The 26,569-nt window shown below is 43.1% G+C and overlaps 1 pseudogene, besides 2 other annotated features; it reads right to left on the bottom strand.

The window, feature by feature from the left end:
* Positions 12,712–13,559: an enhancer, noted in NCBI's record as "OCT4-NANOG-H3K27ac hESC enhancer chr17:57367429-57368276 (GRCh37/hg19 assembly coordinates)". NCBI's record gives its function as "activates a minimal SCP1, AML or CMV promoter by ChIP-STARR-seq in naive and primed H9 embryonic stem cells {active_cell/tissue: H9 hESC(naive and primed)}" and the evidence as "EXISTENCE:reporter gene assay evidence [ECO:0000049][PMID:30033119]".
* On the bottom strand, positions 22,176–22,556 carry SNRPGP17 (small nuclear ribonucleoprotein polypeptide G pseudogene 17; annotated as a pseudogene).
* Positions 26,264–26,343: an enhancer, noted in NCBI's record as "active region_12505". NCBI's record gives its function as "activates an Ori minimal core promoter by ATAC-STARR-seq in GM12878 lymphoblastoid cells {active_cell/tissue: GM12878}" and the evidence as "EXISTENCE:reporter gene assay evidence [ECO:0000049][PMID:35858748]".

Below are 26,569 nucleotides of genomic sequence, written 5' to 3'. Positions count from 1 at the left end.
GTGGAGGCTGCAGTGAGCCAAGATTGTGCCATTGCACTCCAGCCTTGGCAACAAGAGGCAAAACTCCATCTCAAAACAAAACAAAACAAATAAAATAAAATAAAATAAAGCAGAACATACACATGCATGTATCTTTGTAATAGAATAATTTATATTCCTCTGGGTATATACCCAGTATTGGGATTGCTGGGTCAAATGGTATTTCTGTTTTTAGTTCTTTGAGGAATCACCACACTGTCTTCCACAATAGTTGAGGTAATTTACACTCCCACCAACAGTGTATAAGCATTCCTTTTTCTTTGCAACCTCACCAGCATCTGTTATTTTTTGACTTTTTAATAATAACTGTTCTGAGTGGTGTAAGATGGTATCTCATTGTGGTTTTGATTTGCATTTCTCTAATGATCAGTGATGTTAAGCTTTTTTTCACACGATTATTGGCCACATGTATGTCTTCTTTCAAAAAGTGTTCATGACCTTTGCCCACTTTTTAATGGAGTTGTTTTTTTCTTGTAAATTTGCATAAACATTGTTTTCAACCACACCAAACTCCTATCCTGATTAGGTTTATAGTGGAGAAGTTTGCATTTTTATTTATCACTGTTTCATGCTCCTGTACTTCTCAAAATCCTCCACCCATTTCACTTTCCCCATCTTTACTGAGGCATAACTGACAAAAATTACATATGTTTAAGGTGTACAACTTGATGTTTTGATATATGGATATCCAAATAATCACCATAATTAAGCTAATTAATGGATCTATCACCTCTCATAGTTACCATTTCTTTTTTCTTTTGTGGTGAGAATACTTAAGATCTATCCTTTTAGCAAATTGCAAGTATACAGTGCAGTATTGTTAACTAGAGTCATGTGGCTATATATTAGACTTCCAGAACTTATTCATCTTGCATAACTGAAATTTTGTATCCTTTGACCAACGTCTCCTCAATTTCCCCTCCTTGCAGCCCCTGGCAACCACCATTCCACTCTCTTCTACTATTATTTTGACTATTTAATTTTATTTTTAATTGTTTTAGACACAAAGTCTCACTATGTTGCCCAGGTTGGACTCGTACTCTTGGAAACAAGGGATTCTCTTGCCTCAGCCACTGGAGTAGCTGGGACTATAGGTGCATCCCACCACACCTGGCTATTTTATTTTATTTTATTTTATAGTAGGTAAAAAAAATTTTTTTTGAGACAGTCTCGTTCTGTCGCCCAGGCTGGAGTGCAGTGGACCTATCTCGGCTCACTGCAACCTCCTGGGTTCAAGTTATTCTCTTGCCTCAGCCTCCAGAGTAGCTGGGACTACAGACCCGCGCCACCACGTCCGGCTAATTTTTTGTATTTTTAATAGAGACGGGTTTCACCGTGTTAGGCAGGATGGTCTCGATCTCCTGACCTCATGATCCACCCGCCTCAGCTCCCAAAGTGCTGGGATTACAGGCATGAGCCACTGTGCCCGGCAGAAAAATATGTTTGTACTCGCAAAAAGCAGTACCTGATGAATGGTGAACTACGGAAACTCACAGAATTGATTTTGCGTTTGGAAGTATTCATGTGCGATACCCTGCTTTCAAAGGGTTACAGAGGCAAGTTAGTTTGTCTTAGGTGATTTAGACTGCTTTAGATCCACATATAAGTAAGATCATACAGTATTTGTCCTTCTATGTCTGGCTTATTTCACTTAGTATGATGTTCTCCAGATTCAACCATGTTGTCACAAATGGCAGGGTTTCCTTCTTTTTTTTTTTTTTTTTTTTTTTTTTTTGAGACGGAGACTTGCTCTGTTGCCCAGGCTGGGGTGCAGTGGCGCGATCTCGGCTCACTCACTGCAAGCTCCGCCTCCTGGGTTCACGCCATTCTTTTGCCTCAGCCTCCCGAGTAGCTGGAACTACAGGCGCCTGCCACCACACCTGGCTAATTTCTTTTTGTAGTTTTAGTGGAGACGGGGTTTCACTGTGTTAGCCAGGACGGTCTCGATCTCCTGACCTCGCGATCCGCCCATCTCGGCCTCCCAAAGTGCTGGGATTACAGGCGTGAGCCACCGTGCCCAGGCGGTTTCCTTCTTTTTAAAGGCTCCATAATATTCCACTGTATATGTATACCACATTTTCTTTATCAATTTGTCTGTTGATGGACATCTAGGTTGTTTCCATATCTTGGCTATTGTGATAGTGCTGCAATGAACATGGGAGTGTAGCTATCTCTTTGACATGCTGATTTCATGTCCTTTGGATATATATACCCAGAAGTGGGATTGCTGGATCATAAGGTATTCTATTTTTAATTTTTTTAGGAACCTCCATACTATTTTCTGTACTGTTGGCTGTACCTACCCATTTCATTTTTCACATCTACATTCTTGCATTTAAATTCCCCCTCAAACATTATGTTAAGGAATAAACAGGAACAGAAAGTTAAACAACGCGTGATCTCACTCATATGTGGAAGCTAAAAAAAAAAAAAAGGTGATCTCATAGACGTAAAAAGTAGAACAGAGGATGCTATAGGCCAGGAAAGGTAGGAGGAAGGAAGCGATAGAAAGCTAGATAGGAGGAACAACTTCTAGTGTACCACTATAGGATGACTATAGTTAACAGTAACATGTAGTTTCAAGTAGTTAGGAGAAGGATATTGACCGGCCTGGGCAACATAGTGAGAAGAAAAGTAAAGAGAAGAATAGAAGAGAAGAGAAGGGAAGAGAAGAGAAGGAAACGAAGGAGGGAGGGAGGGAGACAGGGAGGGGGAAGGGAGAGGAAGGTAGGGGAGGGAAGAAAAGAAAAAGAAAAAGATAAAAAAAAATTAGCCAGGCACGGTGGCACACACCTGTGGTCCGAGAGGCTGAGGCGGGAGGATCGCTTGAGCCTGGGAGGTCAAGACTGCAGTTAGCTATAATTATGCTACTGCACTGCAGCCTGGGTGACAAAGCAAGACCATGTCTCACAAAAAAGGATATTGAGCATTCTCAACACAAAGAAAGGATAACTGTTTGAGATGATGGATATGCTAATATCCTCACCTGATCGCTATACATTATATGTATTGAAACATCATTATGTCCTGTGTGAAACACAAGTGATAGAAAACAATGTTTTAAAAAGGAAAAAAAGGTAACATTACTATGTGCTGCATGAATATGTACAATTATTGTCAATTAAACACATAAATAAAATAAATTCCACCTTAAGACAAATTTATTTTTGTTGTATATTCCTTATCCTCTCCTTGTATTTTATCTTTCAAATCAAAAAGAGCATTTTAGATCCGGAGGGACCATTTCCTCTACCTGCATATGTCACCCTGTAAATATCACATTTTTTTTTTGTTTTGATTTGTTTCACTTTGTTTTGAGACGGAGTCTCGCTCTTGTTACCCGGGCTGGAGTGCGTTGGTGCAATCTCGGCTCACCACAACCTCTGCCTCCCAGGTTCAAGAGATCCTCCTGCCTCAGCCTCCCGAGTAGCTGGGATTACAGGCATGCACCACCACACCTGTCTAATTTTGTATTTTTAGTAGAGACGGAGTTTCTCCATGTTGGTCAGGCTGGTCTCGAACCCCTGACCTCAGGTGACCTGTCCGCCTTGGCCTCCCAAAGTGCTGGGATTACAGGTATGAGCCACTGTGCCCAGCACTATCACATTTCTTAAGATTTGCTTTCCTAATTCTGTCTGATTCCAGGGTCAAAGTCCTTGACTATAGCACAAGCAGTTTAGCTTAGGAAGACCATGGCTTATTCATTTTCCTCTTCCTCCACTCTACTGCCTTCTTAGCTTTGGGCTTAGAAGTCAACCAATAAAATCTCAGTGCCTGCAACACATGGATTGATATCATTGTCCCCAAACCCATTTTGCAATCTGTGATCAACTTTTAAATTAGTCATAGTGCTTATTATCAGGAAAGGGGAGTATTTCATGTCCAGACAAAAACTAATTTGTAAGTGGATCCACAGCTGAAGCTGCAATATAACAATTCATTTATTTAACAAATATTTATTGAGACCTTCTATGTGCCAAGCATTGTTCTAAGCTCTGAGATAAGGCAGTAGCCAAAACAAATTCCTTATGGTTATGGACTTATATCCTGGTGGGAAGAGACAGATAAAAAACTAGCAAATATATCAATATATAAAAAAAATGTCAGCTAGTGATATGTGCTATGGATAAAAATGAAACTGGATAAGGGTGAGAGATAATGAGAAGGTATAAAGGGCTATTTCAGATGAGTACCTTTGTTTTCTTTCTTTCTTTTTTTTTTTTTTGAGACAGAGTTTCGTTCTTGTTGCCCAGGCTATAGTACGATGGCCCGATCTTGGTTCACTGCAGCCTCCGCCTCCCGGGTTCAAGTGATTCTCCTGCCTCAGCCTCCTGAGCAGCTGGGATTACAGGAATCCGTCACCATGCCTGCTAATTTTTAAAATATTTTTAGTAGAGACGGGGTTTCACCATGTTAGCCAGGCTGGTCTCCAACTCCTGACCTCAGGTGATCCGCCTGCCTCCACCTCCCAAAGTGCTGGGATTACAGGCGTGAGCCACTGCACCCGGACTTCTTTCTTTCATTTTTCATTTCTTAATTATCAAGGGTTGTGGCATTGTAGGAAGTAAGAAGGTGCTGGGCGAGGTGTTAGAGCCCCGGCATCGAAAAGTGGTCAACCCGCTGTCTGGTAAGAAGAATTGACTGACAACAGTACAGGTTTGATAAAGGAAAGTTGTATTAGAAACAAAGAACATTGCAGAAGAAGCCAACGAGGTGCCTCAGCAAGAAAGGACTTGGATTTTCCTTAGAAATATTTATGGACCTTAAGGCAGAAGCTTGAGGGTAATTTGGACCATATTAGTAGGCCATGATAAATGATTACGTTTGTAGCTATTTTGGTGCCTTAATGTCAGCAAGGATTGCATAATGATTTTCCATATGACATTCCTGAGATGTATAGAAATTCTAGCTACTTAGAAATTGTTTTGAAAGAGACCTGGAACCAGATGCAGACTTTAGATACAAAGGAAGTTTAATTACTTCTAAATTCTCCAGGTAAGGAATTTTTGTCCCCAGTGCCTGCTTGATCATCAGGTGATCTTTGCTCTCCTCAGAAGGGATTGGATTCTGGATACATTTTGAAGGTAGAGCTGACAAGGTTCTTTGATGGGATTGAGGTATAAGAAAAAGGGAGTATCGGCCGGGCGCGGTGGCTCACGCCTGTAATCCCAGCACTCTGGGAGGCCAAGGTGGGCGGATCACGAGGTCAGGAGTTCGAGACCAGCCTGGCCAACATGGTGAAACCCCGTCTCTATTAAAAGTACAAAAATTAGCCTGGTGTGGTGGCATGTGCCTGTAATCCCAGCTACTCAGGAGGCTGAGGCATGAGAATCGTTTGAACCCTGGAGGCGGAGGTTGCAGTGAGCCGAGATCTTGCCACTGCACTTCAGCCTGGGTGACAGAGCGAGATTCCATCTCAAAAAAAAAAAGGTCGGGGGTTGGAGGGAGTATCAAGTATGATTCTAAGTTTTCAGACTTCAGCAGAATGTGATTGAACCCAGGAATTCTCTTGTTTTATTTTGTTATTTTATTTTATTATTTATTTGAGACAGACTCTCACCCTGTCACCCAGGCTGGAAGTGCAGTGGCACGATCTCAGTTCACTGCAACCTCCACCTCCCAGGTTCAAGCGATTCTCATGCCTCAGCCTCCTGACTAGCTGGGATTACAGGCACCCACCACCATGCCTGGCTAATTTTTGTATTTTTTTTTGTAGAGACAGGGTTTCACCATGTTGACCAGGCTGGTCTCGAACTCCTGACCTCAAATGATCCACCCCCCGCCCCCCACACCCCACTCAGCTTCCTAAAGTGCTGGGATTACAGGCGTGAGCGACAGTGCCTGGCCTTATTTTGATATTTTATTTATTTATTTACTTATTTATTTTTAGAGATGGGGTCTCACTATATCGGTCAGGGTGGCCTTGAACTCCTGGCCTCAAGCAATTCTCCTGCCTTGGCCTCCCAAAGTGCTGGGATTACAGATGTGAGCCAACATGCTTGGCCTTTTTAAATTTTTATTTCTTTTTTTGAACCCAGGTCTTCCGTACAAACTTTTTGTTACTATTGATAACACAGAGAAACAAGCAGGAATCACTCCTCCAAACCTCAATTCTGTAACATCCAGTTTAGCAACTATTCCATGTGACAAGGCTTTGCCAACCTTTAACCTACTTCTACCTGTAACCAAAAAGTCATTTCTACTGGAGGAATGCCAGTTTACAATGATAAGTGACAAAGAGTGGCTGTGTTTACAAATCTCCCCCAAGGGCTCTACACATTTCACAAATCTCCTATGGCCAGTTACTTACCTCAAAAACAAAGCCATTTCAAAAGCAGGTAATTAAGAGGTGTGAAAGAAGCAAGAGAATCTAGGGCAGAAAAGCTAAAACCTTCTCACATGAAAACAGCACAAAGCTATCTTGCAATTCTTAGTTAAGGTAAATAGAGCTCCGGGTCTTTCAAAAGCGCTCAGAAATAATCCAGACAGGAAACAAAAGTACTCCTCTTGCTCCCAGAGCAAGGCTACCGGAATTGCTTAGGGCATTCACAGAATGATATGATCTTGGTCAATAAAACGTTCAAGATGAATATTAAATTTGCACAACAAATTTACTGTTTTACTTTCTTGGATAATTATCTGAAAGGCTTATGAGTCAGTTTTCCTATAGCTGCTCTAATTATGGGGATGAGGAGCATGTTACAATTTGTGTTACTCTACTCTGAAAAAGTAGAATTCAAAAACTTTCCAGTGGCGGGGTGTGGTGGCTCACGCCTGTAATCCTAGCACTTTGGGAGGCTGAGGCGAGCGAATCACTTGAGGTCAGGAGTTCGAAACCAGCCTGGCCAACATGGTGAAACCCCGTCTCTACCAAAAATGCCAAAAAAATTATCCAGAAATCGCTTGAACTCCAGAGGTGGAGGTTGCAGTGAGCCAAGATTGCACCACTGCACTCCAGCCCGAGCAACAGAGCAAGGCTGTCTAAAAAAAAACAAAAACAAAAACATAACAAACAAAAAAACTTTCCAGTGACTGAATGTGGATAATCATCAGTAAGCTATATTAGAAATGGAAGCATGAGGAAATGGCATCTTTTATTGGCTTCTTCTGGTGACAATAATGGCCCACATCTTCAAGTTACCGGCAAGAAATGAGGGCGGAATTTGAGATTGCAACATGTTCACCAGTGCAAAGGTAATTTGATCATTCACATGAGGATTAAATCCACAGCCTTGGCCTCATCACCAGATCCTGATTAACTGAACTAACCAGTCCTTTGTAGCAGGGACTGTCAAACTATGGTTCACAGGCCAAATCCAACCTGTTTGTAAGAATGGATGTTATATTTTTTAGATGGTTAGAAAAAATCAAAAGAAGAATAATATTTTGTGACACATGAAAAGTACATGAAATGCAAATATATATTGGAACACAGCCCCACTTATCTATTTAGGCAAGATCTATGGTTGCTCTTGTACTGTAACAGCAGAGTTCAGTAGTTGTGACAAAGACCCTATAGCCTGCAAGACCTGATACATTTGCTGTCTAGCCCTTTACAGAAAAAGCCAATTCCCAGCTCAAGGCTCGGCTCAGTGGCTCACGCCTATAATCCCAACACTTTGGGAGGCCGAGGTGGGAGGATAGCTTGAGCTCTGGAGTTCGAGGCAAGCCTAGGCAACATAATGGGACCTCCTCTCTAATATTTCCATCTCAATATTATAAATACTACACTGATGTATAAAAGGCAGAAATAACAGTTGAAAGAACTTATATTTCCAAAATGCAGTTAAGTACACATCCTGGAAATGGAAAAGCACAGAGACTAAATGGTTAATGTTGCCTGTGTATAGCTTTTACCTTCAGCACTTGGCATTTATTCTTTCCAGGCAAGAGAAAGGAGAATGATTGCTTTTCCAAAAAAGAAAGGAGTACTAATCCGTTTAATCAATTAAAATCAGATGCCATTCAAGTTTTCTGCTCTTAGATTGTTCTTTTCTGTGGGGAGTTAATAAAAAAGAGTGCTGAGGCCAGGCGTGGTGGCTCATGCCTGTAATCCCAGCACTTTGGGAAGCCAAGGCGGGCGGATCACTTGAGGTCACGAGTTTGAGACCAGCCTGGCCAACATGGTGAAACCCCATCTCTACTAAAAATACAAAAATTAGCCAGGCGTGGTGGCACATGCCTGTAACTTAGGAGGCTGAGCATGAGAATCGCTTGAAGCTGGGAAGCAGAGGTTGCAGTGAGCCGAGATCATGCCACTGCACTCCAGCCTGTGCAATAAAGTGAGTCTCCGTCTCGAAAAAAAAAAAGCGTGCTGAGTCAGATAAAATACAATGGTGGTTTAGTCAACCTGCACACAAGTTGGATTAAAATTTCAGAATGGACTTTCAGAACAGGAACCTTGTCTGCCTTTTTCACTACTTTATCCATAGAACCTAGCACATTGTAAACACTAAAATATATAGATATTTTAGGAGACGGGGTTCCGCTATGTTGCCCAAGCAAGTCTGAAACTCCTGGGCTCAAGCAGTCCTCCCACATCAACTTCCCAAAGTGCTGGGATTACAGGTGTAAGCCACCATGCCCGACCTCAGATAATTTTTTTTTTTAATTGGGAGAGAGTCTCACCCTGTCGCCCAGGCTGGAGTGCAGTGGCTTGATCCTGGCTTACTGCAACCTCCGCCTCCTGGGTTCAAGCAATCCTCATGCCTCAACCTCCGGACTAGCTGGAACTACAGGTGCCCACCACCACACCTGGCTATTTTTTGTATTTTTAGTAGAGACAGGGGTTTCATTAATTTGGTCAGGCTGGTCTCAAACTCCTGACTTTAGATGATTCTCCCGCCTTGGCCTCCCAAAGTGCTGGGATTACAGGCGTGACCCACCGTGCCTGGCCCAAAGACTGCTGATTATATGAGAAGAAAATAAACCAAACCAAACCAAACCAAACCAAACCACAATAAAAACCAGAGTGCTCTTACTCAAAGGAAGCTATTTTCTTTTTCTTTTTCTTTTTTTTTTTTTTTTTGAGACGGAGTCTCACTCTTTCACCCAGGCTGGAGTGTAGTGGCGCGATCTCGGCTCACTGCAAGCTCCGCCCCCCGGGGTTCACGCCATTCTCCTGCCTCAGCCTCCCGCGTAGCTGGGACTACAGGCGCCCACCAGCTCGCCCGGCTAATTTTTTGTATTTTTAGTAGAGACGGGGTTTCACCGTGTTAGCCAGGATGGTCTCGATCAAAGGAGGCTATTTTCTTTTCACCCACTAAACACTGAAGGAAGTTCATAGATTTCTTAGCTATTTCTTCTAATTGCAAATATGGGACTAATTAAATTATCTGAAATATTAACCCTGAAGAATTCTGTTGTTGTTGTCCACCCAAAAAGAGACTTTCCATAACTCAGTTTCTCTTTTCTTGCTCTTTTCCACTTCAAGTTTTAATGAGCATCTGCCATGTGCCTCATATGCATTTTGCCAGGTTGGGAAAGATGGAAATAGAGGTGGATAAGATGAGTTTCTGGCGCTCCAGAAGCTCGGTGTAATAAAAGGTCTTTCTGTACGTCACTGCAGTACCCAAAGGAAAGTGGAATTTATATACCTGCTCTACATATTTTAGACAAACAGAAAAATGTAAGAAATCTCTGCTCTACTGAATAATGCGTACTTCAGTTTTGTGACACAGAAATTTCAACAAAAATACTTTGGAGTTTTATGATATCATTTAAAATCTTTTTAAGATTGTTGCCTAAGTAGTCTCAAGAGAGAAATAGCCAGAACACCACCAGTTCTCAAAAATATCAAGTACAAATGTACTTAACTATCAGAATAAAATTTTCCTTATGTCTAGCATAAAAAGGGAAGGAGATATAGAGAAAGAAATCAGAGCTCCAGGCTCTCTCTAAATTTAGGTACAAAATATTAATCCTTGTTGTATATATCATGAGCTATGTCATCAGAAAACTCCACTCTGTGATTTATTTGATGATCAACCTTGAGCAATTCTTGGAACTCTGAGGCTGTATTTCTCTGTTTATGTATTTATTTATTTATTTGAGACGGAGTTTTGCTCTTGTTGCCCAGCCGGAGTACAATGGTGCCATCTTGACTCACTGCAACCTCTGCCTCCCGGGTTCAAGCGATTCTCCTGCCTCAGCCTCCTGAGTAGTTGGGATTATAGACATGTGCCACCATTCCCGGCTAATTTTTGTATTTTTAATAGAGATGGAGTTTCCCCATGTTGGTCAGGCTGGTCTCGAACTCCTGATCTCAGGTAATCTGCCCACCTCGGCCTCCCAAAGTGCTGGGATTACAGGCGTGAGCCACAGTGTCCAGCCTGCTCTATCTCTTAATGCCTAGAATGAAGAATAAAGTAAGGTAATATATATAATGCCTTGCAAAGTGTAATTGCCCATCAATCCCTTGCAAGTAGGGACTGCATCTTATACTTTATAAAATCTTCAACCTCTAGGACAGTGCCTGGTACACAGAAGACACTTAATGTTGCTTGAAGGAATAATTCACTATATAAATATTAGTTCTTACACAGCTACTTTCAGTATAACTTATGGATTAATAGTAGGTTAGTAACTAAATATAAGATGACAAGTTAGAAACTGTCCTTAGGCCATTAAGCTCTTATTCTAAGTCTTTTCTTCTAAAATATGGCTTTCTGGCCGGGCATGGTGGCTCATGCCTGTAATCCCAGCACTTTGGGAGGCCAAGGCAGGAGGATCACCTGAGGTCAGGAGTTCGAGACCAGCCTGGCCAACATGGTGAAACCCCATCTCTACTAAAAATACAAAAATTAGCCAGGCATGGTGGTGTATGCCTGTAATCCCAGCTATTTGGGAGGCTGAGGGAGGAGAATCACTTGAACCTGGAAGGTGAAGTTTGCAGTGAGCCGAGATCACGCCACTGCACTCCAGCCTCGGCAACAGAGCGAGACTCTGTCTCAAAAAAAAAAACAAAAAAGATTTTCTTGAGGGTAGGGCCCAATTTCAAAGTTTTGTACACATTAGACATTCCATATGTGTTTACTAAACTAATGAAAATTGGATGTGCACATTGAGGGAAAAAGTCACTCCAATATGATACCTTTTATTTTGAAGATGATTTTACTGACAATATCAGTTGGATATTGTGCTTCAGATTTTCTCAACAGTTTACAATGAGCCAGCTGCACCATTTCTCTCTGGTTTCCTGTGAATAATGGCACACGTTTGTGAAGGCAGATTGCCAGAGTTCAGTGATATGGAACAGTTCTTCTCAGCAAGAGGTGACAAATTGTAATGTGGATCAAAGTCATACCAACATCTCATTAACTCAAGGTTCCAATTAATTAAACTGACCAGACTGGCCAGGTGTAGTGGCACATACCTATAATTGCAGCACTTTGGGAGGCCAAGGCAGGAGGATCATTTGAGGCCAGGAGATCAAGACCAGCTTGGGCAACATAGCAAGACCCCCCATCTCTACAAAAAAGAAGAAAAACTAGCTGGGCATGATGGCGTGTGCCTGTAGTCCCAGCTATTCAGGAGGCTGAGGTGGGAGGATCACTTAAGATCAGGAGTTTGAGGCTACAGTGAACTATGCTCATGCCACTGAACTCCAGCCTAGGCAATAGAGTGAGATCTGGTCTCAAAACAAATAAACAAACCAGGCTGTAAAATGGCAAAGATATGGGGCAATTACAGGACTAAGTAAGCCTGGAAGCTCTGAGGAAGAGAAGCAGTAAGTACACATTCTGAAGATTAACTGCCCTCAAAACTTTTGGTATATATATATTTTTTTCTTTTTCATATTTGATTTCCTAGAACTGAAAAAGTTTTGGTTTATAACAAGAGATTTATTTTAGAAGTTTTTCTCACTAACTTGCCTATTTATATTATTTTCCCCTATTACTTTTTTTTTTTTTTTTTTTTTTGACACAGAGTCTCACTCTGTTGCCCAGGCTGGAGAGCAGTGGCGCAATCTCGGCTCGCTGCAGCCTCTGCCTCCTGGGTTCAAGTAATTTTCCTACCTCAGCCTCCAGAGCTGGGATTACACCACCATGCCTGGTTAATTTTTGTATTTTTAGTAGAGACGGGGTTTCACCATGTTGGACAGGCTGGTCTTGAACTCCCTGCCCACCTCGGCCTCCCAAAGTGCTAGGATTACAGGCATGAGCCACCACTCCTGGCCTCCTGTATTATTTTTGGATTGTTCATCAGTTCCTTCTTCACTTTTATGAACTATCAAATGTGCTGCAATATTTTTCCCTGTCTTTTGACTTATGATATTTTTGGACATACAGGAGATTCAAATATTTATAGATTAAGATGTAATTCATACAGGCCGGGCATGGTGGCTCACACCTGTAATCCCAGCACTTTGGAAGGCCGAGGCGGGTGGATCACCTGACGTCAGCAGTTTGAGACTAGCCTGACCAACATGGTGAAACCCCGTCTCTACTAAAAATACAAAATTAACTGGGTGTGGTGGGGCATGCCTGTAGGAGTCCCAGCTACTCTGGAGGCTGAGGCAGGAGAATCGCTTGAACCTGGGAGGCAGAGGTTGCAGTGAGCCAAGATTGAGCCATTGCACACTCCAGCCTGGGCAACAAGAGTGAAACTCCGTCTCAGAAAGGAAAAAAAAAAAAAGATATAATTCATACAACATATGATTCCAGAAGATTGTGGGGAAAAGAAAGAGAGATCAGATTGTTACTGTGTCTGTGTAGAAAGAAGTAGACATAGGAGACTCCATTTTGTTCTGTACTATGAAACATTTTTCTGCCTTGAGATGCTGTTAATCTGTAAACCTACCCCCAACCCTGTGCTTCCTGAAACACGTGCTGTGTTAACTCAGGGTTAAATGGCTGTGCAGGGTGTGCTTTGTTAAACAAATGCTTGAAGGCAGCATGCTCGTTAAGAGTCATCACCACTCCCTAATCTCAAACCACTCCCTAATCTCAAGTACCCAGATACACAAAACACTGCGGAAGGCCGCAGGGACCTCTGCCTAGGAAAGAGACCAGGTATTGTTCAAGGTTTCTCTCCATGTGATAGTCTGAAATATGGCCTCGTGGGAAGGGAAAGACCTGACCATCCCCCAGCCCAACACCCGTAAAGGGTCTGTGCTGAGGAAGATTAGTAAAAGAGGAAGGAACGCCTCTTTGCAGTTGAGATAAGAGGAAGGCTTCTGTCTCCTGCTTGTCCCTGGGCAATGGAATATCTCGGTGAAAAGCCGATTGTATATTCCATTTACCGAGATAGGGGAAAACCGCCTTAGGGCTGGAGGTGGGACATGCTGGCAGTAATACTGCTCCTTAAGGCATTGAGATGTTTATGTATATGCACATCCAAAGCACAGCACTTTTTTCTTTACCTTGTTTATGATGCAGAGACATTTGTTCACGTGTTTACCTTCTGACTTTCTCTCCATTATTATCCTATTATCCTGCCACGCCCGATAATGATCAACAAATACTAAGGGAACTCAGAGGTCTTGGCCTCTGATTACCTTAAGGAAACTGAAGCAGCAACCCTTGATAGCTTTGCTCAACCTCAGGATTAGAGACCTGAAAAATCTAGTGGCCCTAGGCCCCCTCTTTGTACTTGTATCCAAGGGCAAATACAGCTCTTATTTAGTTAAGTCTCAACTAGAAGATCTGGAAGATTTATTTTTGACTCCAGATTATTGGGTTGGACAACATCAGATAGGACTGGGCCAGTATGAGCAGAGCCGTGTTTACAACCTTGCTCTCCTCCCCTGGAGTCAAAGTTCTTTCTCCTCAAAGTGTTTTTCAAAGACTGCTGGTTATTTTATTGATTGATTGATTGATTGACTGATTTTGAGATGGAGTTTCGCTCTGTCGCCCAGGCTGGAGGGCAGTGGCACGATCTCGACTCACTGCAACCTCCGCCTCCTGGGTTCAAGCGATTCTGCTGCCTCAGTGTCCCGAGTAGCTGGGACTACCGGTACACACCACCACACCCGGCTAATTTTTGTATTTTTAGTAGAGACAGGGTTTCACCATGTTGGCCAGGCTGGTCTCAAACTCTTGACCTCAGGTGATCCTCCTGCCTTGGCCTCCCAAAGTGTGAGAATTACAGGTGGGAGCCACCGTGCCTGGCCAATTGAGCGTATTTTTTTTTTTTTTTTGAGACAGAGTCTAGCTCTGTCGCCCAGGTTGGAGTGCAGTGGCATGATCTCGGCTCACTGCAACCTCCACCTCCCAGGTTCAAGCAATTCTCCTGCCTCAGCCTCCCGAGTAGCTGGGATTACAGGTGTGCACCACCACATACGACTAATATTTGTATTTTTAGTAGAGACGGGATTTCACTACGTTGGCCAGGCTGCTCTTGAACTCCCAACCTCAGGTGATCCTCCTGCCTCAACCTCCCAAAGTTCTGGGATTACAGGCATGGGCCACCACACACGGCCATCAGCCTAATTTTTTTTTGAGTCAGAGTCTCGCTCTGTCGGCCAGGCTAGAGTGCAGTGGCACCATCTTGGTTAACTGCAACCTCCGTTTTCCGGTCTCAAGCAATTCTCCTGCCTCAGCCTCCCGAGTAGCTTGGATTACAGGTGTGTGCCACTACGCCGGGCTAATTTTTGTATTTTTAGTAGAGACGGGTTTTCACCATGTTGGCCAGGCTGGTCTCCAACTCTCTAACCTCAAGTGATCCACCCACCTTGGCCTCACAAAGTGCTGGATTACAGGCGTGAGCCACCTTGCCCGGCCTATCAGCCTATTTTTTAAAAGAATTTTTATTGTTTCATTTTCTTGATATTTAAATCTTTGTTCCATTTGAGATTTGTTTTGTTTTGTTTGTAGAGATGGGGTCTCCCTATGTCGCTAAGGCTAGTCTCAAACTGCTAGGCTCAAGCCATCCTCCTGCCTTGGCATCTCAAAGTTCTGGGATTACATGCCTTAGCCACTTCGCCCAACTAGGTGTAGTTTTAATATCAATGTTGGCCGGGCAGGGTGGCTCACGCCTGTAATCCCAGCACTTTGGGAGGCTGAGGAAGGAGGATTGCTTGAGGCCAGGATTTCCAGCCTGGCCAACATTGTGAAACCCTTGTCTCTACTAAAAATACAAAAATTAGCCCAGTGTGGTGACACACACCTGTAATTCCAGCTACTTGGGAGGCTGAGGCATGAGGAGTGCTTGAATCCAGAAAGCAGAGGTTTCAGTGAGCCAAGATTGCACCACTGCACTCCAGCCTGGGAAACAGAGTCTGTCTCAAAAAAAAAAAAAAATATATATATATATATATATGTGTGTGTGTGTGTGTGTGTGTGTGTGTGTAAATATCAGTTGGCCAGTTTACACATAAGTTTATCAAATTTATTTTGACCTTTTTTTTTCTTTTGGGGACAGGATCTCTGTTGCCCAGGCCGGAGTTCAGTGGCACAATCATGACTCACTGTAGATGCCTGGCTAATCAAAAAAAAAAAATTTGTTAAGACCTGGAGTCTCGCTGTGTTGCCCAGGCTGTTATGGAACTCTTGGCCTCGAGCCTTAGCCTCCTAAAGCACTGGGATTACAGGCATGAGCCATAGAGCCTGGCCTGTTTTTGTATTTTTAAAATAGTAGCCATTCTTATAGGTGTGAGTGGTTGTAATAACTTTAAAAAACAAGTTATTTGGGAGAAGTTATTCCAAAAATGAATGAATTTAGAAAACTATAATATTTTCCCTAGGGAAATGTCATACTTCTCAGCTTTCCTCATCTGAGTCAAGAGGTTTCTTTCTTCTAAGAGGATATCATTTATCTTAAGTTTCTGATAGGTTAAATTTGGATTGTTCTTAGTGATCAGTAGGACCAGGTGCATCCTGTTATATTTTGCAAAAGTGCCTAAATGTTTCTTATTTCAGAATCACATGACCTAAAAAATGATGACTGCAGGCATATCCATCAAAAAGGGAAATGAATCAGCCACAGAGGAGAAGGGTGTTGGTTGGGCATGGTGACTCATGCCTCTAATCCCAGCACTTTAGGAGGCCGAGGCAGGAGGATTGCTTGAACCCAGGAGTTTGAGACCAGCCTGGACAACATAGGGAGACCCTGTCTCTACAAAAAAATGCAACAAAAAATTAGCCAAGGCAGGAGGATCACTTGGGCCTGGGAGGTCAAGGTTGCAGTGAGTTATGATGGTGCCACTGCACTCCAACCTGGGTGACAGAGTGAGATCTTGTTTAAAAACATTAAAAATAAAAAAAGAGAAAGAGAAGGGTTAGGAAAGAACTTGTGAAGGATTATATAGTTCATCTGTACTTTCCGCATAAGTAGACACAACTATAGACTCATCATCAGTAAATTTTACTATTTGGCCTCCAAGAGAACAGAAGACAGAAAAGGTGAAATGCCTGTATTTTTAAAAATTCAAATTTCTTTCTTTCATAAATATGATGAAAATGGTTAGAATGAAGAAGTGAAAAAAATTCTCTCCATAACACCATACAGCAGTTGTATTAGACATCAACGTTAATATTAAACATTAAGCATCAAACGTTAGTGTATTTAATCCAAAATCTTACTTGGAAGAGAAAGGAAAACAATCACATGAGAGTTAATTTTCTTTTTTCCTTTTTTTTAAGAGAGTTGCCCAGGCCGGAGTGTAGTGACATGATCATAGCTGACCGCAGCCTCAAACTCCTTGACTCAAGTGATCCTCCTTCCTCAGCCTCCCGAGTAGCTACGACTACAGGTGTGCACCACCATGCCCTGCTAATTAAAAATTTTTTTGTAGAGAGGCTGGGCACGGTGGCTTATGCCTTCAATCCCAGCACTTTGGGAGGCTGAGGCGGGTGGATCACAAGGTCAGGAGTTCGAGACCAGCCTGACCAACACGGTGAAACCCCTTCTCTACTAAAAATACAAAATTAGCCAGGCATGATGGCATGTGCCTGTAGTCCCAGCTACTTGGGAGGCTGAGGCAGGAGAATCACTTGAACCCGGGAGGCAGAGGTTGCAGTGAGCCGAGATTGAGCCACTGCACTCCAGCCTGGGTGACACAGCGAGACTCTGTCTCAAAAAAAAAAAAAAAAAAAAAAAAAAAGTTTTGTAGAGTTGGAGTTTTGCTATGTTGCCCAAGCTGGCCTCGAACTCCTGGCCTTAAGCAGCCCTCCTGCCTCGGCCTCCCAAAGTACTGGGATTATAGGCATAAGCCACTGCATTCAGCCAAATTTTATTTCTTTTACGACACTCTTTCCAAAGTATTATTTAAGAAGTTCAGTGACAAAGGTTACGGAGAAAGAATAGCAGCGCTTGTGTTAAAAACAGCTTTGAACTTGCTCTCTCAAGATTTAGGATTAAAGGCTGGGGACGGTGGCGCACGCCTGTAATCCCAGGACTTTGGGAGGCGGAGGTGGGCAGATCACTTCAGGTCAGGGATTTGAGACAAGCCTGGCCAACATGGTGAAACCCCGTCTCTACTAAAAATACAAAAATTATCCAGGCATGGTGGCAAGCACCTGTAACCCTAGCAACTCAGGAGGCTGAGGCAGGAGAATCACTTGAACCTGGGAGGCGGAGGTTGCAGTGAGCCGAGATTGTGCCACAGCATCCCAGCCTGGGCGACAAGAGCAAAAACTCCGTCTCGAAAAAAAAAAAAAATAGATGGGTTTGAATGCCAGGTTTGTCATCTTACTATCTGTGCAATTTTTCGTGAGTCTCTCAACCCATCTGAGCTTCTATTTCCCCATCTATAAATCAGAAATAATACTACTTATCTCGTAACACTATGGTGAAGATTAAATAAGATGATGAGTGTGATAGCAACCTGGCATACAAAAGGTACTAAATAAAGGTTAACTGAATTCCTTCCTTCAAAGTAGGGTTGAAGTTGTCTAGTCATTTTGTTGAGCCTAAGGTATGCATACTTGGGCTTGGGATGTTTCTCACTTGATCTTAGCCAAAAGGCTGAGAAGTGATGGATAATGTTTCTCAAAATGTGAATTGAATCAGAATGTTTCACATTCCCATTGGAAATCTGTTTCCTTCTCAGTTTTCTCCATCTCAGTAAGTGACCCCACTATTCATCTATCTAGTTGTATAAGCCAAACCAATTCTGAGTGTTGAATGACAAATGTTTAATATTACTTTGTTCTTACCTGGGATTTCTTAATTTCTCAAAAAGGTAGTGGTATAGTTTTCCATCTGTTCCCACAGGCAATGGTTTCAGTTATTCATGGGAATAGTAGCTTGATTCCTATCTCCACAAATGCTATTAATAGTGTTTAAGTAAGGGAACAGTAAGTACATTTGGCATATGGGAATTTTCTGTTTTGTAGCTTTTATTTGGAAAGTTTACTTTCTATAGCATAACATTGCAACTGCCCTTTCTCCCGGCTTTTTACGTTTCTCTCAGCATTGAATGGTGAATGGAAGAAAAATTAGAAAAGTGAGAGTGAGTTGGAAGGTTAAGGAGACCCAACCACATCACTTCTAGCCAGGTGACCCTGTAAATTCCCTTTGAAGGTATCATCTAACTCACAGTTTCATATAAAAAACAGGAAGGTGATAATCTCAACTGCTCTACCAGGTTGTAGTAAGAAACACAGGAATACATGTAAATGTGAAGAAAAATTTAAACTTCACATAAATGTAACATTTACCGTTTTTTAACAATGCCCAAACTTTCAAATTCACTATTCCTCAAATTAATCAGAATTTAAACATTTGAGGCTGGGTGTGGTGGCTCAAGTCTGTAATCCCAGCACTTTGGGAGGCCGAGGTGGGTGGATCACTTGAGGTCGGGAGTTCAAGACCAGCCTGGCCAACATGGTGAAACCCTGTCTCTACTAAAAATACAAAAATTAGCAGGGCATGGTGGTGCATGCCTGTAATTCCACCTACTCGGGAGGCTGAGGCAGGACAATCACTTGAACCTGGGAGGTGGAGGTTGCAGTGAGCCGAGATCATGCCACTGCACTTCAGCCTCGGTGACAGAGTGAGACTCTGTCTCAAAATAAAGAATTTAAACCTTTGAAAAGTTTATTTCCTCCCCCTAGTGATCTAGATTGTTTGTTATCAATACTCTAAATCTCCAAGTAGGTATCCAAGGAAACAAAGAAATACACAACCTCTTTCTGACAATCCCTGGCTACACTAGATTTCTTCTCTCTCCTAGCCCTTCTGTGGTCAGCTGCAAGTGCTGCCTTTTCCCCTTCCCATCTCTGCCTCCTCTCGCACATAACCAATCTCCAGCTCTCTGCTTTGACCCCCATCCCCACCTGTTATGAACTAAATTGTGCCCCCCACGCCCCCCTCCCCCACCAAATTCATATGTGTAAGCCCTGACCCCCAGTGTGACTGTATTTGAAGACTGAGTCTTCAGCAGGTATTAAGGTTAAGTGAAGTCATAAGGGCGGGCCCTAATCCTATAGGACTGATGTCCTATAAGAAGAGTAACAGACCACACTAGTTGGCTTTACTACTTTATCCTCTTTCAAGTGCAAATCATCCCAGTCTTTCTTTTTTTTTTTTTTTTTTTTTGAGATGGAGTTTTGCTCTTTTTGGCCAGGCTGGAGTGCAGATGGCACAATCTTGGCTCACTGCAACCTCCACCTCCAGGTTCAAGCAATTCTCCTGCTTCAGGCTCCCGAGTAGCTGGGATTACAGGCCTGCACCACCACGCCTGACTAATTTTGTATTTTTAGTAGAGATGGGGTTTCACCATTTTGGCCAGGCTGGTCTCGAACTCCTGACCTCAGGTGATCTGCCCGCCTCGGCCTCCCAAAGTGCTGGGATTACAGGCGTGAGCCACGGTGCCTGGCCCATCCCAGTCTTTTATACTTTTCTTCCCATCCTTCCCTGAAGTATGTATAAAAAAGATACCTCTTCCTTCTCTCAGCTCTGGATAACTTAACTAGACCATAAGTACCAAGGGCAGGAAATGTTCAGTATGATTCACAGGTGCTTGGCAAGGCAGGCATTCAGCGAATCTAAGGATTCGTTGAATAAATTACAAGCCACACAGTCTTGAAGCGATCATTGCTCACATGTCCTCTCTCTCCAATATCTCCAATCTCTCCACTAGCTCCTTCTTGTTTTCACACATTTATAAGCCTCCCACATAGAACACAACTCACTTGATACTGCTGCCCTTTCAGATGTCTTGATTTTCTAATTCCTGTGAATAAGTGGCTGATTTTTACTAGCCTCATTTAGTATAATTCAGTCCTCTTGATTCCTTTGCAGTCTCATATCAGTTCCATCAACTATAGAGATAATTGAATCATAGTTACAGAGGCCTCCTTTTGAAACAAATGCAGGCCAGGTGCGGTGGCTCATGCCTGTAAACCCAGCACTTTGGGAGGCCAAGGAGTGTGGATTGCTCAGGAGTTTGAGACCAGCCTGGGCAGCATGGCGAAACCTCATCTCTACAAACAATACAAAAATCAGCCAGGCGTCATGGCGCAAGCCTGTAGTCTCAGCTACTCTAAAGGTTGAAGTGGGAGGGTCGCTTAAGCCTAGGAGGTCAAGGCTGTAGTAAGCCATGAGGATGGCACGGCACTCCAGCCTGGGTGACAGAGAGAAACTCTATCTCAAAAAAAAAAAAACAAAAAAAACGCAGTTATCCCTTTTCTGGCCCTTAATCTCAGTATTCTCTTTTGGGCATTGATGATAATCACCTTCTTTCTTTCTTTTTTTGAGATGGAGTCTTGCTCTGTCGCCCAGGATGGAGTGCAGTCGCACGATCTCAGCTCACTGCAACCTCCTGAGTTCAAGCAATTCTCATGCCACAGCCTCCCAAGAAGCTGGAATTACAGATGTGCACCACCACACCGGCTAATTTTTTGTATTTTCAGTAGAGACCAGGTTTCACCATGTTGGTCAGGCTGGTCTCGAACTCCTGACCTCAAATGATCCACCCACTTCAGCCTCTCAAAGTGCTGGGATTACAGGCTTGAGCCACCGCGCCCAGCCTACCTTTTCTCTTAAATTCTGTTTTCATGGGGTTGAAAACATACTCTCCCTTGCTTCTATTTCTCAGACCACACCTTCTCTCCCTTGAGCATATTCCAAACTTGACTTTCTGGGTCATTCTTTTTCCTACTGAACTCTTCCTTCAGCTTTTTCTCTTAATTTCAATGATTAACTCTTTTGTTGATGACTTGTGAAATCACAACTGAGTTGAATGATTTCATCTTATTTTTTTCTGTATTTATATATTTATTTTTTTGAGACAGAGTCTCGCTCTGTTGCCCAGGCTGGAGTGCAGTGGCACAATCTTGGCTCACTGCAAACTCCGCCTCCCGGGTTCAAGCGATTCTCCCACCTCCGCCTCCTGAGTAGCTGGGATTACAGGCACCTACCATCATGCCCGGCTAATTCTTGTATTTTTGTAAAGACGGCATTTCACCACGTTGGCCAGGCTGGTCTCAAACTCCTGACCTCAGGTAATCCACCTGCCTCGGCCTCCCAAATTGCTGGGAATAATGGCGTGAGCCACCGCGCCCAGCCTTCTTACCACAATTAAAAAAAAACACTATTAACATTGGCAGATAGCATTTCAGACCTTTAAGATGAATATTTTTTATTTACACAATACACAATTTTGTGGCTTAGTGTTTTCACTTAATATTCTCATATCACTAGATATAGAACATTCATATTTTACAAGGATCTATCATAATTTATTTAACCAGTCCCTTGTTTTGCGATTTTGTTTTTTTATTTTTATTTTTATTTTTTTGAGACGGAGTCTTGCTCTGTAGCCCAGACTGGATCTCGGCTCACTGCAAGCTCCGCCTCCCGGGTTCACGCCATTCTCCTGCCTCAGCCTCCCGAGTAGCTGGGACTACAGGTGCCCGCCACCACGCCCGGCTAATTTTTTTGTATTTTTAGTAGAGACGGGGTTTCACCGTGTTAGCCAGGATGGTCTTGATCTCCTGACCTGGTGATCCGCCCGTCTCGGCCTCCCAAAGTGCTGGGATTACAGGCGTGAGCTACCACGCCCGGCCATACATTTTGTTAAATAAACTTAAAAAAAAAAAAAAAAAAAAGGCGGGGCATGGTGGCGGGTGCCTGTAGTCCCAGCTACTCGGGAGGCTGAGGCAGAGCTTGCAGTGAGCTGAGATCCAGCCTGGGCAACAGAGCAAGACTCCTTCGCAAAAAAAAAAAAAAAAAAAAAAAAAAAAAAAAAAAAAAAAAAGTCTAATGTGAAAATGTACATGACCTAATTTTTACATCATAGTAAAACAGGACCTATAGAGAGAGGGCATAGGTTTCTCTGCTGAACAGCCATTATTTTTACTCATTCCAAGGCTTCTAACATGACGATACTATTTCCTCATATTACGTCCATTCCAATATTGTTCTGTTGCCTACTAGTCGCCATCTCCACACATTCATCTATCACAAGATTCATAAAGGGATCAAATCTTCACAATATGTCTGCCATCATTTAATTTCAATGATAATTTCTTGTTCATAAATTTTTTCAACTGGGGAGAATGAGGTTTGCTCATGGTGTCTGCTCTGTGGGCTCACAGATGCCTTGGAATGGAATGCACGGCCTCCCTCACTGTTTCGTTGCTGTTTTTTTATTTTTTTGAGACAGAGCCTCGCTGTGTCACCCAGGCTGGAGTGCAGTGGTGCAATCTCGGTTCACTGCAACTTCTACCTCCCAGGTTCAAGCGATTCTCCTGTCTCAGCCTCCCAAGTAGCTGGGACTACAGGAGCCTGCCACCACGCCCAGCTGATTTTTTTTTTTTTTGTATTTTTAGTAGAGACGGGGTTTCACTATGTTGGCCAGGCTGGTCTTTAACTCCTGACCTCATGATCCGCCCACCTTGGCCTCCCAAAGTGCTGGGATTACAGGCATGAGCCACCACGCCCGGCCTCCCTCACTGTTTTTTGTTTTGTTTTGTTTGAGATGAAGTCTAATTCTGTCAGCCAGGCTGGAGTGCACTGGTGTGATCTTGGCTCACTGCAACCTCCGTCTCCCGGGAGGTTCAAGTGATTCTGGTGACTCAGCCTCCCAAGGAGCTGCGACTACAGGCCCGCACCACCACACCCATCTACTTTTTTTTGTATTTTTAGTAGAGACGGGGTTTTGCCATGTTAGCTGGTCTGGAACTCCTGGCCTCAAGTGATCCGCCCGCCTTGGCCTCCCCAAGTGCTGGGATTACAAGTGTGACCCACCATGCCTGGCCTAACCAGTCCTTTAATGTTGTATATTTAGGTTGTTTCCAATTTTTCACTCTGCATATGTATCTTTGGACACTCATCCTATTTTTTTCTTGGAATATTATTCCTAGCACTGGAATTTCTGATGAAAGGATGTATTTGAAGGTACTGTCAAATTTATCCTAGAAGTGTTCTGCCAAGGCCAAGTGTTGTAGCTCACACCTATATTCCCAACACTTTGTGAGGCTGAGGTGAGCAGATGGCTTGAGCCCAGGAGTTTAAGACCAGCCTGGGCAACATAGCAAAACCCTGTCTCTACAAAAAAATACAAAAATTAGCTGGCGTGGTGGTACATACCTGTAGTCCCAGCTACTCAGGGGTCTGCGGTGGAAGGATTGTTTGATTCCAGGAGGCACAGGTTGCAGTGAGCTGTGATCATGCCACTGCACTTCAGTCTGCAACAGAGCAAGACTTTGTCTTAAAAAAAAAAAAGTGGGGGAGGAGGCGTGGGCTTTGTCAATTTATATTCCTACCAACAGTTTATGAGTGCTTGTTCTCCTATGCCTCTCATCAACACTTTCATTCTTGCTTACCTGAGAGTCGGGAATTAGTATCATATTCAATATCATTTCATTTTGTAAGTCTTTTATTATGAGGGAAGTTAAACATTTTTCATGTCTCTTGGCCATTTACACTTGTGAATTAGCTGTTCATATCCTATGCCTGTCTCTCACCCCTCCTTCCCCACCTATTGGTTGTTCTTGAGAAGTTTCTGACCAGAAAAAAATAATCATAAACCATTAAGGGAACTGACTGAATTTTTAAAAGGCTTTGAGTGAGTTATCAGGGAAGGAAGGGAGGGAAGAAGAAAGAGAGGAAGAGGAGGGGAGAGAGGGAGGTTCTATTAAAGTCCGGAGGGAAAAATCTTAGAACAAAGAATGCAAAAAAGGTTTTTGCAGATAATTCCTATTTCAAATCAATTTTATGTTGAACTCATATATGAAACAGAAAAAAGTGGAGCAGCTCTCATCAAAGTGGGAATGGGTAACCTGCTACACCTGCTCAGCCTCCTCTTGCCCAGGAGAGGCTGTCCAGGACCTGCCTTGTTATCTTAGGACTTTAAAAAACTAAATTTAAAAACTACTCAACAAACCAGAATAATGTATTCTTTTCATAAATAATGCGATGAGTTAAAATTATGCCTGTTTTGGCTGGGCACGGTGATTCACGCCTGTAATCCCAGCACTTTGGGAGGCCGAGGTGGGTGCATCACTTGAGGTCAAGAGTTCAAGACCACCGTGGCCACATGGTGAAAGTGCATCTCCACTAAAAGTACAAAAATTAGCTGGGTGTGGTGGCATGTGCCTGTAGTCCCAGCTACTTGGGAGGCTGAAGCAAGAGAATCGCTTGAACCCGAGAGCAGAGGTTGCAGTGAGCCAAGATTGCACCATTGCACTCCAGCCTGGGAGACAGAGTAAGACTCCATCTCAAAAAAAAAAAAAATTATGTCTGTTTTAATAGAGCTCTCTACTTTTGAAAGAAAAAGGCATAAATGAATGAGATCATTTGTTATGTTGTATGTTATTATTCAGTCTCACTAGGCATTCACGAACTAGGCATCTGGTGGCATGGTACTATTCAAACTGCAAGTAGTATACTGAGAAGCAACTAATATCACCTCTAAAGAGCTAACTTTGCAAATTCATACCTGTGAAGTACAGGAAATGCCTAAATCTATTCCTCCAGATTTAGCCTTTCATCCAAGGGCGAATATATCTAAAGCATAGCCACTCAAACTTCTTTTTGCCCTTTCAAACTCAAGTGCGCCCACATTCATCATCTTTACCACCACATTGTTTCTCCTCTCCAGGTTCCCCATTTTTTTGCAGCTTTGTAACTTTCCCTTCTTCTTTTAAGCTTATCCAGTCGCCAGCTCTTATTATTTCTTCCCTCTTTTAACTTTTATTTATTGAGACAGAATTTCACTCTTTTTGCCCAGCTGGAGTGCAATGGCATGGTCTCAGCTCACTGCAACCTCCACTTCCCGGGTTCAAGTGATTCTCCTGCCTCAGCCTCCAGAGTAGCTGGGATTACAGACACCCACCACCACATCCTGATAATTTTTGTATTTTTAGTACAGACAGGGTTTCACCATGTTGCTCAACCTGGTCTCAAACTCCTGACCTCAGGTGATCCACCCTCCTCAGCCTCCCAAAGTGCTGGGATTACAGGCGTGAGCCACCGCACCTGGCCTAATTTTTCCTTTACAGAGACACATAGATTCATTGTTTCCCTACTTATAGTACCATTACTTCCTTTTTTTTTTTTTTTTATTTGAGATGGAGTCTTGCTCTGTCGCCCAGGCTGCAGTACAGTGGCACAATCTTGGCTCACTGCAACCTCTGCCTCCCGGGTTCAAGTGATTCTCCTGCCTCAGCCTCCCAAGTAGCTGGGACTACAGGCACGTGCTACCACGCCCAGCTAATTTTTTGTATTTTTAGTAGAGAAGGGGTTTCACCGTGTTAGCCAGGATGGTCTTGAATCTTCTGACTTCGTGATCTGCCCGCCTCAGCCTCCCAAAGTGCTGGGATTACAGGCATGAGCCACTGCACCCGGCCTCTTCTTTTTTATTTTGAGATGGAGTCTCACTCTGTTGGCCAGGGTGGAGTGCAGCAGTGCCATCTCAGCTCACTGCAGCTTCCGCCTCCTGGATTCAGGCAATTCTCCTGCCTCAATTCTCGTGTAATCCCAAGTAGTTGGGATTACAGGTGTGCACCACCACACCTGGCTAATTTTTTTTTTTTTTTTTTTTTTTAGTAGAGATGGGGTTTTGCCATGTTGGCCAGGCTGGTCTCGAACTCCTGGCCTCAAGTGATCTCCCTGCCTCAGCCTCCCAAAGTGCTGGGATTACAGACGTGAGCCACTGCACCTGGCCACCAAATTTTTATGCCATCTAATGGCAATTTAGATTTGTATTAATCTGTTTAGACTTCTGACCTGGTTTCTGGACAGTTCTCTGCTCTAGGCTTGTATCTTTCTTTCAGATTATAGGATGATCAACTTTCCAAACATTAATTTTTCAGCGCTACCTAAATGAGGCACAGAAAATGTCTTCGTATGCTCCGAGCATTTTGATTTCCTCTCTGACGCTTGCATCTGACTTCTTTAGTTCTGCTTTTGTTTTGAGGCCTGGTTGCAGACTGTTTTTCACATTTTTCTTTTGTGTCTGAAATCATTATGTCATATTATTGCCTAGCAGTTTTGGTTCTTGTTTCCATTGTCTCAAGTTTAGCCATCTACTTGAGCTGTATGACTTTCAGTTTAGAACAAACTCTTCAGCCTGGCATTCATGGCCACCCTTAACTTGTCATTCTTATCTATTGCAGAATCTCTTTTGATTTTTTTTTTT

The sequence above is a fragment of the Homo sapiens genome, chromosome 17, assembly GCF_000001405.40.
Source record: "Homo sapiens chromosome 17, GRCh38.p14 Primary Assembly".
NCBI classification, from domain to species: domain Eukaryota; kingdom Metazoa; phylum Chordata; class Mammalia; order Primates; family Hominidae; genus Homo; species Homo sapiens.
Note: the sequence above shows the minus strand (reverse complement) of the source record. Positions and strands in the feature narration are given on the sequence as shown.